This window comes from Homo sapiens, chromosome 6 (assembly GCF_000001405.40).
Source record: "Homo sapiens chromosome 6, GRCh38.p14 Primary Assembly".
Lineage (NCBI taxonomy): Eukaryota > Metazoa > Chordata > Mammalia > Primates > Hominidae > Homo > Homo sapiens.
The window spans coordinates 122,609,063-122,622,444 of NC_000006.12; the positions used below are offsets into that span (position 1 = coordinate 122,609,063).

At 37.8% G+C, this 13,382-nt stretch overlaps 1 protein-coding gene across 11 annotated transcripts in view, besides 2 other annotated features; it reads left to right on the forward strand.

Moving 5' to 3' along the window:
- Positions 1 to 13,382, forward strand: part of PKIB (cAMP-dependent protein kinase inhibitor beta) — a 254,453-nt gene that overhangs the window by 137,142 nt on the left and 103,929 nt on the right. For 6 of the 11 annotated variants that reach the window (XM_047419003.1, XM_047419005.1, XM_047419006.1 and 3 more), the window contains exon 1: positions 1,343 to 1,473. The exons of 4 other annotated variants lie outside the window; for them this stretch is intronic. The gene's annotated coding sequence lies outside the window, so the exon portion shown is untranslated. Of the gene's footprint in view, positions 1 to 1,342; positions 1,574 to 13,382 lie in introns of those variants that run through there. One more of the 11 variants, XM_011535933.4, reaches the window with a different exon arrangement.
- Positions 1,194 to 1,373: a silencer, noted in NCBI's record as "silent region_17516". NCBI's record gives its function as "represses an Ori minimal core promoter by ATAC-STARR-seq in GM12878 lymphoblastoid cells {active_cell/tissue: GM12878}" and the evidence as "EXISTENCE:reporter gene assay evidence [ECO:0000049][PMID:35858748]".
- Positions 1,990 to 2,635: an enhancer, noted in NCBI's record as "H3K4me1 hESC enhancer chr6:122932197-122932842 (GRCh37/hg19 assembly coordinates)". NCBI's record gives its function as "activates a minimal SCP1, AML or CMV promoter by ChIP-STARR-seq in naive H9 embryonic stem cells {active_cell/tissue: H9 hESC(naive)}" and the evidence as "EXISTENCE:reporter gene assay evidence [ECO:0000049][PMID:30033119]".

Below are 13,382 nucleotides of genomic sequence, written 5' to 3' on the forward strand. Positions count from 1 at the left end.
TGATTAATGCTTGTGTAACCACACAAGTAACTATATTTTTATTAGGCGGGTGCAGAAGCTACTGCAGTTTTTGCCAGTACTTTTTTGCAATTACTTTTGCACTAACCTAATACAAAACAAAATGTGCCTACATCACAATTCAGAAAAATCACAGCTTTATTAGCAGAGTATAATTTAAGGAAGTCAATCAATCCTGAAGGCAGAAAGACCTAAGTTCAAAACTGATTTGGAATCTTCTCAGCTATTTAGCCTTGTTCAAAGTATCTAACCTTGCTGAACCTCAGTTTACTATCTGAAAATAGAGAAAATTATTACTATATTGTGGAGGTATGAATATTGAATAATTTAAAGAACTTGATTGTACTACCATTAGCACACACTGAATAAAATATTAGTCTGATTATATTTTCGTATTTCCATATTTAGGCTTTTGCCTAAAAAGGGAATTTGGAAGTGGTCATTGGCAGGTGTCATAGGCTTTGGGTGGCAAGTCAGAGCATAGTATGAATGAGCAAATTAGTAAAGACTAGAGATAAGAGAAGACTTTGAGTACTAATTAAGAGTTTCAGGAGACCAGAGGAGATTTTAAGACTTCAGTGAGAAACCACTTTCTCAGGAAGCAGATAAATTAATTTTATCAGCAGTATCGTCGTCCATGTAATATGGCTTTTAAAAAGCACAGTGAGACCTTAGTAGTAACGACTTTATTTTTCTTAGTGAGAACCTGAAAGTGAAACTTGATATACATTATTTTCTGCTTTTATTGCACAAAAAGTTGTTTCCATTGCATATTGCTTCCTAATCTGTTAAAATAATCTGTTAACAAACTCGAAGACCCAGATTCGGGGCGTAGATAAGCCTGTGTACCTTCCTACCTTCTCCAAACAGCCAACATTAGATCAAAGGGCAACCTTAATGACACCTGGAGCACAAACCCTGCTCAGGGCGCGTACAACCGGAGGGACAGAAAACACGATGCGACGTCGGAAAGCAGGAAGGGAATTGAAATTCCCGCAGTCACGTCACAGAAATCTTAGCAGAACCTCATCATCGCCCAAGGGAACTGGGAGTGGCGGGCGGGGAGGACGCGGGTTGTGTGACGATCACCGATAATTAGTTGGTGGTTAACGCACAAGTAGGATAAAAGAGCTCGCCCCAGGCTGCCAGCAGAAAAAAGCTACCGTGGCACGTGCCCCGGGGAGTGATGCGGTGGCCCGGTTTGCACGGAGAGCGGGACACCGCCTGGGGAGCCGCGCTCGTAGCCTGGGGGCGGGACGCGGCGGCCGCTCCCTCCGCCCCCGAGTAGCTGCCACCGCCTGGCTGCGCCCCAGCCCAGTAGCTCAGACGCGGCCGCATCCCGGTGGACTGTAGAGGCGGCAGCGAGCTAGAGCCCGAGTCGCAGCTCCGGGCCGCAGAGCGCTGGGCGAGCGCGAGCGCCAGGGCACCGGCAGGGCAGGCAGCTGCGCGCGGCTGGTACGTACCTGGTGGAGCGGGCGCGTGAGTGGGTGTCCCTATGCGAGGAGGGAGGAGTGGGACTTGGGAAGTCGGGGGAGACTGACCCAGGGAAGATGTGGTAAGTGCAACTTTCCTATTTTCTGCCCTGCTGGCACAAATATGGGGGGAGTTCGAAGCAGATGCCTCTTTCGCTTGGGCGACCCGATCCATCGTTTAACTCACAAGTCAGGGTACTTAGAGAGTGAAAAGGACGCTCACGCCAACAGGCGTGACGTGGGAGGTCTGTCACCTGCCTTTTGCCCACTCTGCCCTGCAGGTGGCCATTGATGACCTCCTGTCACAAGTCGCTGAGTCCTTCGGCTCTCGCGCCAGCAATGCCAAGTCTTTCCCCTGGGCGGTGCTTACCAAGCCCCGGGTAGTCACGAGCGGCCGCGGGGTTAGCAGAGACCCGAGTACTAACCCGCTCGGCCAGCGTCCGGCTGTGTGGCTTTAGCCAAGTCACCTCACCTCACTGGCCTCCGTCCATTCTTTGGATAAAATATGGAGGTGGGTAGACCGAGTAAACTCAAGGGTCGCCCGTAGCTATTGGATTTTCCCTGCTCCTAGGACCCCGGCAGGCCGCAGGGAGGGACACGAGTGCCAGGTGGTCGCGGGCTGAGGGAGCGGAGGGCCTGTGTTCCGGTTGGTGCTGATGCTAGCCCCTTGGGGAAATTCCTGAAGGTGCATTTCGGAGCCAAATGACCCTGCCTTGCAGCAGGTCCCTTCCAAGGGAGCTGAGAGGGCCAGGTCAGACCGGTCTTCGTAGAGCTCCCCGGGGAACGCAGCCAACGGAACTCGGGTCCTTTAGAAAAGTGCATGCGTGAACTAGGCATGTGGGAAGCACTAAAACAAACAACAAACAAACAACAAAACACCCTGCAGGTGGTAGTGTTATTAGCTGGAGTCTGTGCAGGACTGGAAAGTGGAGATTTGAGGCGAATGACCACTTAAACGTTCATCTAGAAAAAAAATTTTAAAAAAACTCTTTTATCAGTGGTTTGCATACTGAAAGGTATTGAATTAGAAATATTGCGAGTATTGCATTTCTCTTCGTGTACAGATAGATTTCAAAATTCATCTGTCCACTTTATCTCTTCACAAGATGCCTTCCTTCTTACTGACATTGCCACACATTCAAAAAAAATCCTCCTGGGATTTTATATTTAGAAAGCTCAGCATTTGGATTATTAAAATGAGAACTGATGACCATAATGCTCACGGAAAATGGGGTAGGTTATGGATCAAGTTTGGTTAAATCAGCAGTTTATAAACCTTGTTTCCTGTTAGTGTGCCGGGTGCTGGTCAATGCCCCCCTAGTGACACTATCTCAAGAGATCATTTGCTAAAAAGGTGTTTTGGAAGTTCAAAAGATTCGATTTTGAAGGAAAGTATAGCTTTGGAAAGGAAATCTTTTGGAAAACGTTTTTAGTAATGGACTTCTCAATCTTATCTTTACCACAACTTTCTTCAATAAAATATCAAAGACTAATGGACCACATTATGCAGAATATTTTAAAATGTGTCAAATTTCATTTTTGTTAAAGAGTTTTTCCTCCTTTTTAGTCGATTGCAAACATATTGTTTAGATCAATGATAGATCAATTTAATTTTCCTCACAGTTCTTACAATTATTTAAATTCTTACGCAGTTTGCATTACAGCATTTTTTTACAACTTTATTGAGATATAATTTATATATTATAAAGTTCACCCTTTAAGGGTGAATAATATTTAAAAATTATATTTCAGTGAGTTTTAGAAAATTTGTTAATTTTCTAAAAGTTGTAAAACCATTACCATATCTGGTTTTAGAACATTCCAAAATTGTAAAACCATTACCATATCTGGTTTTAGAACAGTTTACTCACTTGGTAAGATTCCTTATGTCCATTATGTCTTTGTTCCCACTCCCATTCCCAGGCAACCATTAATCTACTTTCAGTCTATAGATTTGCCTTTTCTGAACATTTTATATAAATGGAATGATATACTATATGGTCTTTTGCTTATGGCTTCTCTTACTTAGCATAATGTTTTTGGGGTTCAGCTATGTTGTGGCATGTATCAGTATTTCATTTCTTCTTATTGCTGAATAGTTTTCCATTGTATGGATATACCACATTTTGTCAATTTACTAGTGGATGGATATTTGGGTTGTTTCCAATATGGGAATATTATGAATCATGCTGCTGAGAACATTTGCATTCAAGTGTTTGTGAGTACCCGTTTTCATTTCTCTTGGGTAGATGCTTAACAGTGAAATTGGTAGGTTGTATGACAAACTTGTGTCTAACTTTTAAGGAACACTATAGAGTAATTTTTGTAGAAGTTATATATATAAAAATTTAAAAAATTCTGGAAAAATAAATGTTTCTTACTGGATCATATATGATGTTATATGTATATAGAGAGAGGCTTGGGAGAGGAACCATTGCTTCTCTTCAAATTTAGAGCTGAGGTACAGCAAACACTTTTGAAAAAAATGTCGCAATATTTCTCAGAAACGAGATATTTCTTGCCTAATGTTTTTTAATGCTAAATGAGCATGAATCAGGCTTAATCAAGACTAAATTTTCATTAATGTCAATTGAAAATGAGAAAGCATGCAGTTTGAAAATTGTATTTTAAGTGTTGAGACTTAGCCAGCTCTGAATGGCTGGACAATAAATTCGGTGGTTTTCCATTTCTTCAATGCAAAATTTTAATTGAGTTAGAAAAAACAAAATTATTCTTTCCTCAACATCAAAAATAAACTATACGTCTTGTGAACTATATGTCTTGTGATAAGCATTGTTAATCATGATTCCATATAATTATTTTAAATAATAATTAAGCATATTCTATTAGTAGATTTAGGGATCTAAGGCCCAAGAGTAAGTGATTTCCATATACAAAAATCACATATTAGACCAGGGCTCTGGTTTTCCTGTTTTAAAACTTCCCCCATTAGTACATGTTCCTCTAAATCCTGTTAGTTTCAGACATTTTCATATGTTATATGTACTTTAAAAAAGTCATTACCAGGTAGTGACATTACATGGAAATAATCTAGGTTAAGCACTTGAACATCCCCATAAAATCAAAGACAGCTACTATTTTTTATTTTTATTAGAAGTACAACTGGTTTTGGCCCTGCGTGGTGGCTCATGCCTGTAATCCCAGCACTTTGGGAGGCTGAGGTGGGCGGATCACAAGGTCAAGAGGTAGAGACCATCCTAGCCAACATGGTGAAACCCCGTCTCTCTAAAAATACAAAAATTAGCTGGGTGTGGTGGTGCACACCTGTAGTCCCAGCTATTTGGGAGGCCGAGGTAGGAGTATCGCTTGAACCCAGGAGGCAGAGGTTGCAGTGAGCTGAGATGGCACCACTGCACTCCAGCCTGGTGACAGAGTGAGACTCCATCAAAAAAAAAAAAAAAAAAAAAGAATTACAGTTGATTTTGAGAAATCAAATGGATATGCTACTTTTTACTGAACTGAGGTACACTTTTTATTCTAGCAAGTGGCAAATAGCAGTATTATGTGCCCAGAGCAGAGTGGATTTGTGTTCTTCAGTCACTCCTAGTTGTAAAAATGTGACATTGCCCAAGAGTTGGGTGCTTGGTTGGAGAAGAGAGTTCAGAGATGTTTAGATAAAAATAAAACAATCTAGATTTGCATAATTTCCTGAACGGGAAGAGGTATTCTCACCTAGAATCCTGGATCTGTTAGAAGTAGGATTTCTCAGATTGGAAAGAGGGCCAAGGAAATGGAGATTCTTTAAGACAATGTGGTCTGTAGCCAAGATAGTTTTAATGTAATTGAAGAAGCAGCAACAGAAGCATCTACAGACAATATGAATGGAGCTGGATTCCTTCCTGTACCTCCCAGACTCTCCCTTCCTGCAGTCTCTGCTTTCTTCTAAGCACTCTTATTGGCTATGCTGTTGAAAGTATTCTTATCCCCGTGGGGGTGTGGGAGTAAGCATCCCCATGGGGGTGTGGGAGTAAGTAAACTGTAGGCTTTCTTTTTTTTTGGATAAAGTAAAGGGAGAACTGAAGTCCAGTGTGATAGCTTCAGGAATAAAACCATGGAAGACAGGAAATAATTAGGTAGTCTTCTCAAGCATGCTTATATTTTAATGGTCACAAAATAATTTATATCTAGATTAAATTTTATGGATTGAGCTAATACATCTCAGAAGAAGAAAACACCATTCTTAAAATTCTTAAAATCATAAAATCTTAAAATCAGTGTGTGTGTATGTGTATGTGCATGTGTGTGTAAAGAGGGCTTACAACTCATGCAATTACATTAGTGTATTACATTAGTTTATTTTATATTTTAAAATGAAAATAAATACCTCTACCATGGAGCTTCTGGAGCCAGGTATAATATTAAATTTTAAAATGCTGAAATAAGCCCTACTTTTCTCACTTTTCCCAAAAAGGCCTTGAAATCTAATGAAAAGCCAGATTATAGGTATGGTGGATTTTGTTACACTCCAAGGGTTTGCAAAAAGTCTATCAAGCCAAAATTTATAAACGCCAGGACTTCACAGAAACCACTCTTCTTTTCAGTTCCATCATCCTTGAAGAAGGGTGTCTATGATAATTCTGTGTATTGTAGTGAAGTAGTAGAACTTTTTGCAGTAGTGAAAAGAAAAAAAAAATTTTTAAATATGTCTTTCTAACATGCCATGAAGCTGTGCATATGTATATACTGTTGTAATCCTGGGGAGGTTTCATCTGAAGGCTACTGGAAGGACTGCTCTAGTAGGCCAAGCAAGAGATGCTGAATGAGTCAGGGCAGCAGAATTAGGGATGAGGAAAAGTATTCAGATTCTAGAAATATTAGGAGATGAAAATAATTGAGTTTGATGGTAGTTGGGATATGAAGTTAAGAAGACATGAGAATGAAGAGTGCCTCTCAGATTCTTGGCTTGAAGTGAGAGCTGGCACAATTTACAAACATGCAGGTTTAAGAATGGGGCGACTTCATGGGTGTACTGAGTTGGATAATGTCTCCCCAAAATTCACGTCCTTCCTAGAATCTCAGGATATGACCTTATTTGGAAATAGGATCACTACATATGCAATTAGCTAGGATGAGGTCATACTAGAGTAAGGTGGGCTCTTAACCCAATATGACTGGTTTCCTTATAAGAAGAGGCAAGAGACACAAAGAGAAAGACACATAGAGGGTAGACAACATGACAATGCTGGGGGAGATTGAAGTTATGAAACTGTAAACCAAGGGATGCCAAGGTTTGCTGGCAACCACTAGAAGCTAAGAGAGAGGCATAAAACAGATTTCCCCTCTGATTCCACAAAAATGAACCAACCCTACTGACAGTTGATTGGATTGCTGCCATTCTGAACTGTGTGAAAATAAATTTCTGTTGTGTTAAGTCACTCAGTTTGTGGTAATTTGTTACAGCAGCTCTATCAAACTAATACAGTGGGTGTGAGTAAAAGATACATTGGGGTGAAGATATCCAAGAAGCTGTTGTATAACAAGCTCAGAAGATGCAGATTGAGTTGACATTGGCATGCAGTAGGTAAATATAATGATGAGATCTCCTATGGGAAGCACATGGAATCAGAAGGAAAATGGGAGAAAAATGAATCCTGGGAAATGAGTTCCAGTCAGAGCCCAAGAGGAGAAGCTGGAAAGGGCATTGTCATAGCGACAAAGGTATGTAGAGCTTCAAAATGTGTGGCATGATCAACAAGTCATAGACATAAGAGGACATAATAGGAGAAGGGTTGAAGGGACTTTTGTTTTGACAAGTAGAAAGCAAGAGTAATGGCTTTATGATTGGAAGGTTGAAGCCAGATTGTGCTGCGTGAGAAGGAAATGGAAAGTAAGGAGATAGGATCAGCTAGTGTCCAGTAGTCCTCCCAGGATTATAGGTGAAAGATGGAGGAGACGGTTCGGTATGCAGGGAATCACGCGACACAGTGTCCAATTAATTTTTGTTTAATATTTAAAGGAAAGCCTTTGTCCTATCTTTAGGAGTCATTAGTGTGGGAGAGGCTGTTAAGTATAGAAAAGACAATTTATGGAGCTGCTTTCCAATAAAGGGGATTGGGTTAAGGACGAAAGTGGAGGCCTTGAACATACAATGTTTTCAATCTGTAGTAGAAGCTTGAGATGTTTTTAAGGGTGAGTAGTTTTTTTTTTTCTTTCTATGGAAATAACTGTTATGCTAAGAGAAAGGAAACTACTGTTTATTGAGCAATCTGCCAGACCCCTAGGGTTGGAGTCTGGTGGATTGATCAATAAATAGTAATTTGTAGCACATTTTCACTAATTTCGTTTATTCTCCAATCTGTGAAGTCAGTGTTACTGCTCTATTTTTTAAGACGAGTAGGCAAAGAGAGTATCTATTCAAAGTCATTTAATAGAAAGTGGCAGAGCTGAGATTAAAAGCCAAGTTTGATTGATGCTTATTTCTTAAATCTACAGCCTTTCTACCCTTCTAATTTGAGCTCAGTAAAAATGCCCAGCTAACTCACTTATATTGGACCTTCTTAGCCAGTGGCTGAGCACACACTCAGGTCTCATTCTCAATATCCCTTGTAAATATGGCTGCAAAGAGGCAACAGGTTAATGGGTATTGCATCTACCGTATGCACTACCTAATGTGGTCAAAGTTCTACACCTCTGAAATCAAACAGTCATTTCAGGTTTTTCATTTATTTGTCCCTTATGGATTCAACCATGTGGAAATACGGGGTTGAGGGGAGCCATTTTTATTTATTTCCCTCAGGGAGTGGTGGAGAAAGTTTTTAGGGGAAGTGAGGAATACTTTTCTGGCACGGTAGATCTGGGTCAGCTCCCTGAGATGCTTGTGGACTTTTGCCAAAGAATATTAAGCTTCAAGTAAAACCCAGCATAGTTTGTTTCAACTCTGAGAAATTCATATTTTGGGTTCTAGGTTTGAATGCTTTGAAAGGAAAAATAAACCTTTCAGTATTCAGTGAAACACTGGAGGAAACAAAACATTGTTTTTACTCATAGATATTTATTTTTACCAACTCTTTAAAAAAGTATTTTAATTTATCCCAACTTGATGAAAACTTTTCATATTTTCTTTCAATAATATTATTGGTCTTAATTGTCAGTTGATTTGTTTTCTTTTTGTAGGTTTTTGTTTTAATATGACTCATCTGAAATACGAATTAAGTTTGATGACAACAGTTTAGGTTATGTCTAAGTATATCTAGAATTATTTTACATAAGGACTGTTAAAAAGATTTACTTTATTAAGTACATCAAGATGTTTTTTATTTTAATTCTCACATGCATCCATAATTGTTTTAATATTGGGTATCTTCCAGTTTTTGTACATTTGTAAGGATGTTTTTTACATTAATGTAACAATGGTGTACAGTTTGTATCCTACATTTCTTCCTCTTAAAATTACTATTGCCAGTGTAAAAATGAGTAGAAACAGAAAATTAAAGAAAATAACATTTCTTAAAAGAATGTATAGTATCCTATGAAACAGTTTTTGGTTAGATAAAATTTCAGATCATAAGGATAGGAAACACTTTCTAGTTTGCTGAAAGGCTACATTCTAATTTCACTGCACCCTGTGGTAATCATTGATTTAACTCAGAAATGAGAAAACAAAATAAAAGAGAAACATACCCAAACGATTAAAATTCATTACTTTAGCTATTAGCAGTATTTGAAAGTAGAATTCAACTTTTCAAGGGCAGTATGTGCTTACTGTTATAAATTCTTCACCAAGAATCACAGACATGAAAATACCCTCAAACATCTTTTTCTTTCTTTCAGTCTCATCTCTTTGTCAACCCTTTATCATTACATAATAATGAATTATTCCACATGTTACTTTCTGGGCAAGTAATGTTTTCCACTTAAAATACTACCAAGTCCTAACCTTTAACATTTTTTAATAATGTTTTAGAGATAATATACGTTGCAATGAAAATCAGAAATTTCAGAATAGTTTTAAGAAAAAAAAGGTCTATTTATATTTGATTTGTCCACTAACTAGAAGTAATCACTATAAAATTATTCTTTGCATACACATAACTTTTTAAAAGACAAAAAATTATCATATCATATTCCCTGTTTCCCACTTAATAAATCATCTTAGTATAAATTACAGTTTTTTAATGGCTCCATTAACTAATTTTCTGGTGACGCTACAGAAAGTTACCAAATTCAGTTTTATAAACAATAGCATAGTAGATAACTCTGTTCATAATTTTGATACATCATATACACCTATTTGATTAATTCCTTTGAATAAATTTCTAGACATAGAATTGCTGCATCAGAGGATGTTAATTTTTAAAGAGTTTTGATATATTTTACAAAATATCTTCAGAAAGCCTGTGCAGTTTACATTCAAAATAATACTTTTACTAACATACTAATACAGTTTCAAAAATTTGAAATTTAGAAATCAGTGGGAAAATATAGCTACATTTGTATTTCTTTGATTGGTAGTGAGGCAGAATATTTTTAGTTATTTTTATGAATTGTTATTTTATATTCTTTGCCTGTTTTTTCAATCTGTTTGCAAGAGCTTTTTATTGATAAATATATCAACCTTTTGTATGTCTATTTTACAAATTTTAAATGTTTTCTTTTTACCATTAATGATTTAGGGTGCACTGCTTTGTAGGATACTTAATTTTTTAAGGATGTCAAAGTTATCAATCTATTCTCACGTAGTTTGTGAAGTTTAAGATGGCCTTTCCCACTTGTAAAAGTATTCACCTACATTTGCTTTTAGTACTTTTTACATCTTTTGTTTCTATTTAAAATTTTAATCCATTGGCAGTTATTTTAGTAAGAAATAAAGTGGGGATCTTACCTTATTTTATTATTATTTAATGGCTAGCCTTTTTTTTTTATAGCTATTTGTCCTATAATGGATTCCCTCCCCATTGATTTGAATAGCATCCTGTGCCTTCTCACCCCCGCACCTGCCTTGGAACTTACCTTTCTCATAGCTGTCCCACTGTTAGAATGCGTTAGAATGCAGACATGACTGCAGGCTCTTTGACTGCTCCCCCTTCATCCACATCTGCCACTCACAACCTGAGCCCTAGAAGGAAAAAAATTTCTATAACCCTTGTCATAGCATCCAGCTTTCCTAAATTACCACATTACCAGTTTTGGAACATATAATTTTGTTGGTCCTGAAAAACAGCTAATTTTCAAATGCTTCAAAGTCTCTGATTTTATCATTCACCTGCTCATTTTTTCTCTTTGTGTTGAAACTTTGTTATATGTTTTGCTACCTCCCCCTTGACCCAATGTCTCCTTTGTATTCTTCCTTCAAAACCATTCCATCATGCTACCTGGAACAACTGTTCAATAATAATAAATTAATCTATATTATTAACTTCCACCTTTTCCCTTAGCCCTGAAGCTTGACTCTCCCCTGGGTATCTTACTTCTCCTTAAGCCCTTCCTATTGGAGACTGTTTATTATTTTCAATTTTATAATCTCAGAGTAGTAGAGGGGGGCACATTCCCTTCATGCCCCCATATGCCACCTGTACAATATTTTTCCACCCTCTTATACTCACTTCCGCTCCTTTGAGCACTCTGGCTATACCATCCTCTACCGTTTCTCATTTCTATCATCAATGCTGAGGGTTTAGCACCTGAACAAACCCCTCCTGTTCTGAACACTCTAGTAATTGGTGTACAGTCATCTTCTCCCATCCTTCTTCTGTCCTAAATCTGGTGCCTTCCTATGTACATCCAATATCGTGACCTCTCACTTACCATGTGGTCGTGTGTGTTTTTTTGAATTCCCAAATGTATTCAGAAGAGAACCTAGTTAAAGAAGCACAGACTCAGAAGTATATAGAGCCGAAAAGCTCATTATAGACTAAGAATTCTCTCTTGGTTTCTTAACACAGATAGGCTAATAATTCAGCTTTCCATTGATCAGAATTTGTGTTGCTTGGTTTAACTTAGACAATCGTTTACTGCTAGTATCAAAATATTTGAGAATATTGTTGCATAAGCATCTGTGTAGAATCAAGAAGTTCCACACAAGGCATGAAAGTGGTTATACATGTCTAGCTCCTGAGGCGGTGAGGTAAGAGGTTGAGTGGCTTTGTGACACTATGCCTGGCTGCTGCATTCATGGATTTTTGTGCCTTGTTTGCTCGTGTTCCTATTTAATTTTTTAATTAGTATGTTGAGGGAGGCAGATGTTGAGTAAATGCTGTTTTGTAAATTTTTAATTAGGATTTTTAAAAATTGAAATACCTTTTTTTGATTTTTGTTTAGCTCTAAATGTTTTGTTTTATATTATTTTCCCTATTTTAGTTGCAGCAAAGATTTCTGCATAAACTACTTCAAGATTTGCTTATCTGAATGAAAAGTTATCTTCCCTGAGACCAGATCCAGACCACCTTTTGATGATTTACTTACCTGACCATGTCGTTCCCTTGAGTTTCTTGTTATTATGATTATAATAAAGGGAGTACAAGCAATCTGGTCATTTTAACCTACTACCAGATGGATTAGATCACTGCGGGATATTGGCTTATTTACCCTACAATGACTCATCACAGTTTAGGAGGAAGAAGACCAGCTTAGAGGTCAGGAGATTTACTTTTGTAGTTTTTGGTTAATTACTTTACTACCTGTCTCTGATATTATAGGTTAATGGCTTCTGGGGGGATTAATGAGATTAGAAACAGAGAGATGCCCAATCCTTATTTATTTTACAATTTTGCCTAGGAGTACCGTTCCCTAATCTTAATAAATTATAGTATAAATACCTCCTTGATGCTAAGGAATATGCCAGGTCTGAGGAGATCAGGTTGAACTGAACAAGGTTCTAGCCCTTCAAGAGCACAGGATTAGTGTTGGATAGGTAAATAACTGCAAACACGATGTGATGAAAGCCACCATAGGAGTATGAATCAATTACAGATGTGTCCAGAGGTGGTTATAAGTAATCTAATATCAGGAATGGTTTCTCTGTAGAGGTGATGCTATTGTTAGATCTTGAAAGATAACCACTAGTTTGCCACATAAAGGGGAAGGTGTTCTAGGAAGAGCAAAGAGACTCAAAGTGCAGCATATGTTTAGGGAACTAGAGTTAATTCAACATAATAGAATGTGGACACTAAGGGACAGTGACAGGAGATGTAGCTGGAAATTTGATAGGAAATAGATTTAGAAGTGCTTTGCCTATTATGTTAAATAGATTGGACTTGATTGAACGTTTCAAATTACAGGAAAAATGGAATCTTATTTGTACAGTGGTGTACTGGCTGAAAGCCCATGTCCCTCAGAGCACATGTCTCTTCCTCCATTACAGAGAAGTAAAGGATATTAGAGGAAATATGGGGAGGGCTGGACTCAAGTTCTGAGTGGGTAAATTTTTAGATGGATTGACTCGGTGGTTGCCTTCTAAGAAGTAAGTCACATATGGATTAAAGAAGCATGACTAATTTAGATTTGTTGAATTTGAGTTAGGGTGTGTGGAACTAAGGAGAAGTCAAGACTAAAGATATAAAGTGTGGGTTTAACTGTGGATAATTGAAGGCCCTTCCTAGAAATTGCTGTACTTAAACACGAGTTATGTGTTAAAATATTTTAGGAATAAGTTTGCCATAAGAATCATGTGATTTAACTCTTAAATTATGTTTTTCCCCATTTTTTTGTGTTAGCACAAACTCGGTAAATAGCAAAATTCTATAAAATTATGGAAACTTTCAAAGTCATAATTTAAAAGGAACAGCCTTCTTCATTTTTTTTTTGTAAATACTTAGACTATTTTTGCCAAAGATTTTAGTTCTGATGCTTTAGTTTTTCTGACAGCTACTCCAAAGATTCAAGGATAGAGTTTAAATGAAGGATACATTCAAGGGTATCCTTTAGGTAGGAACT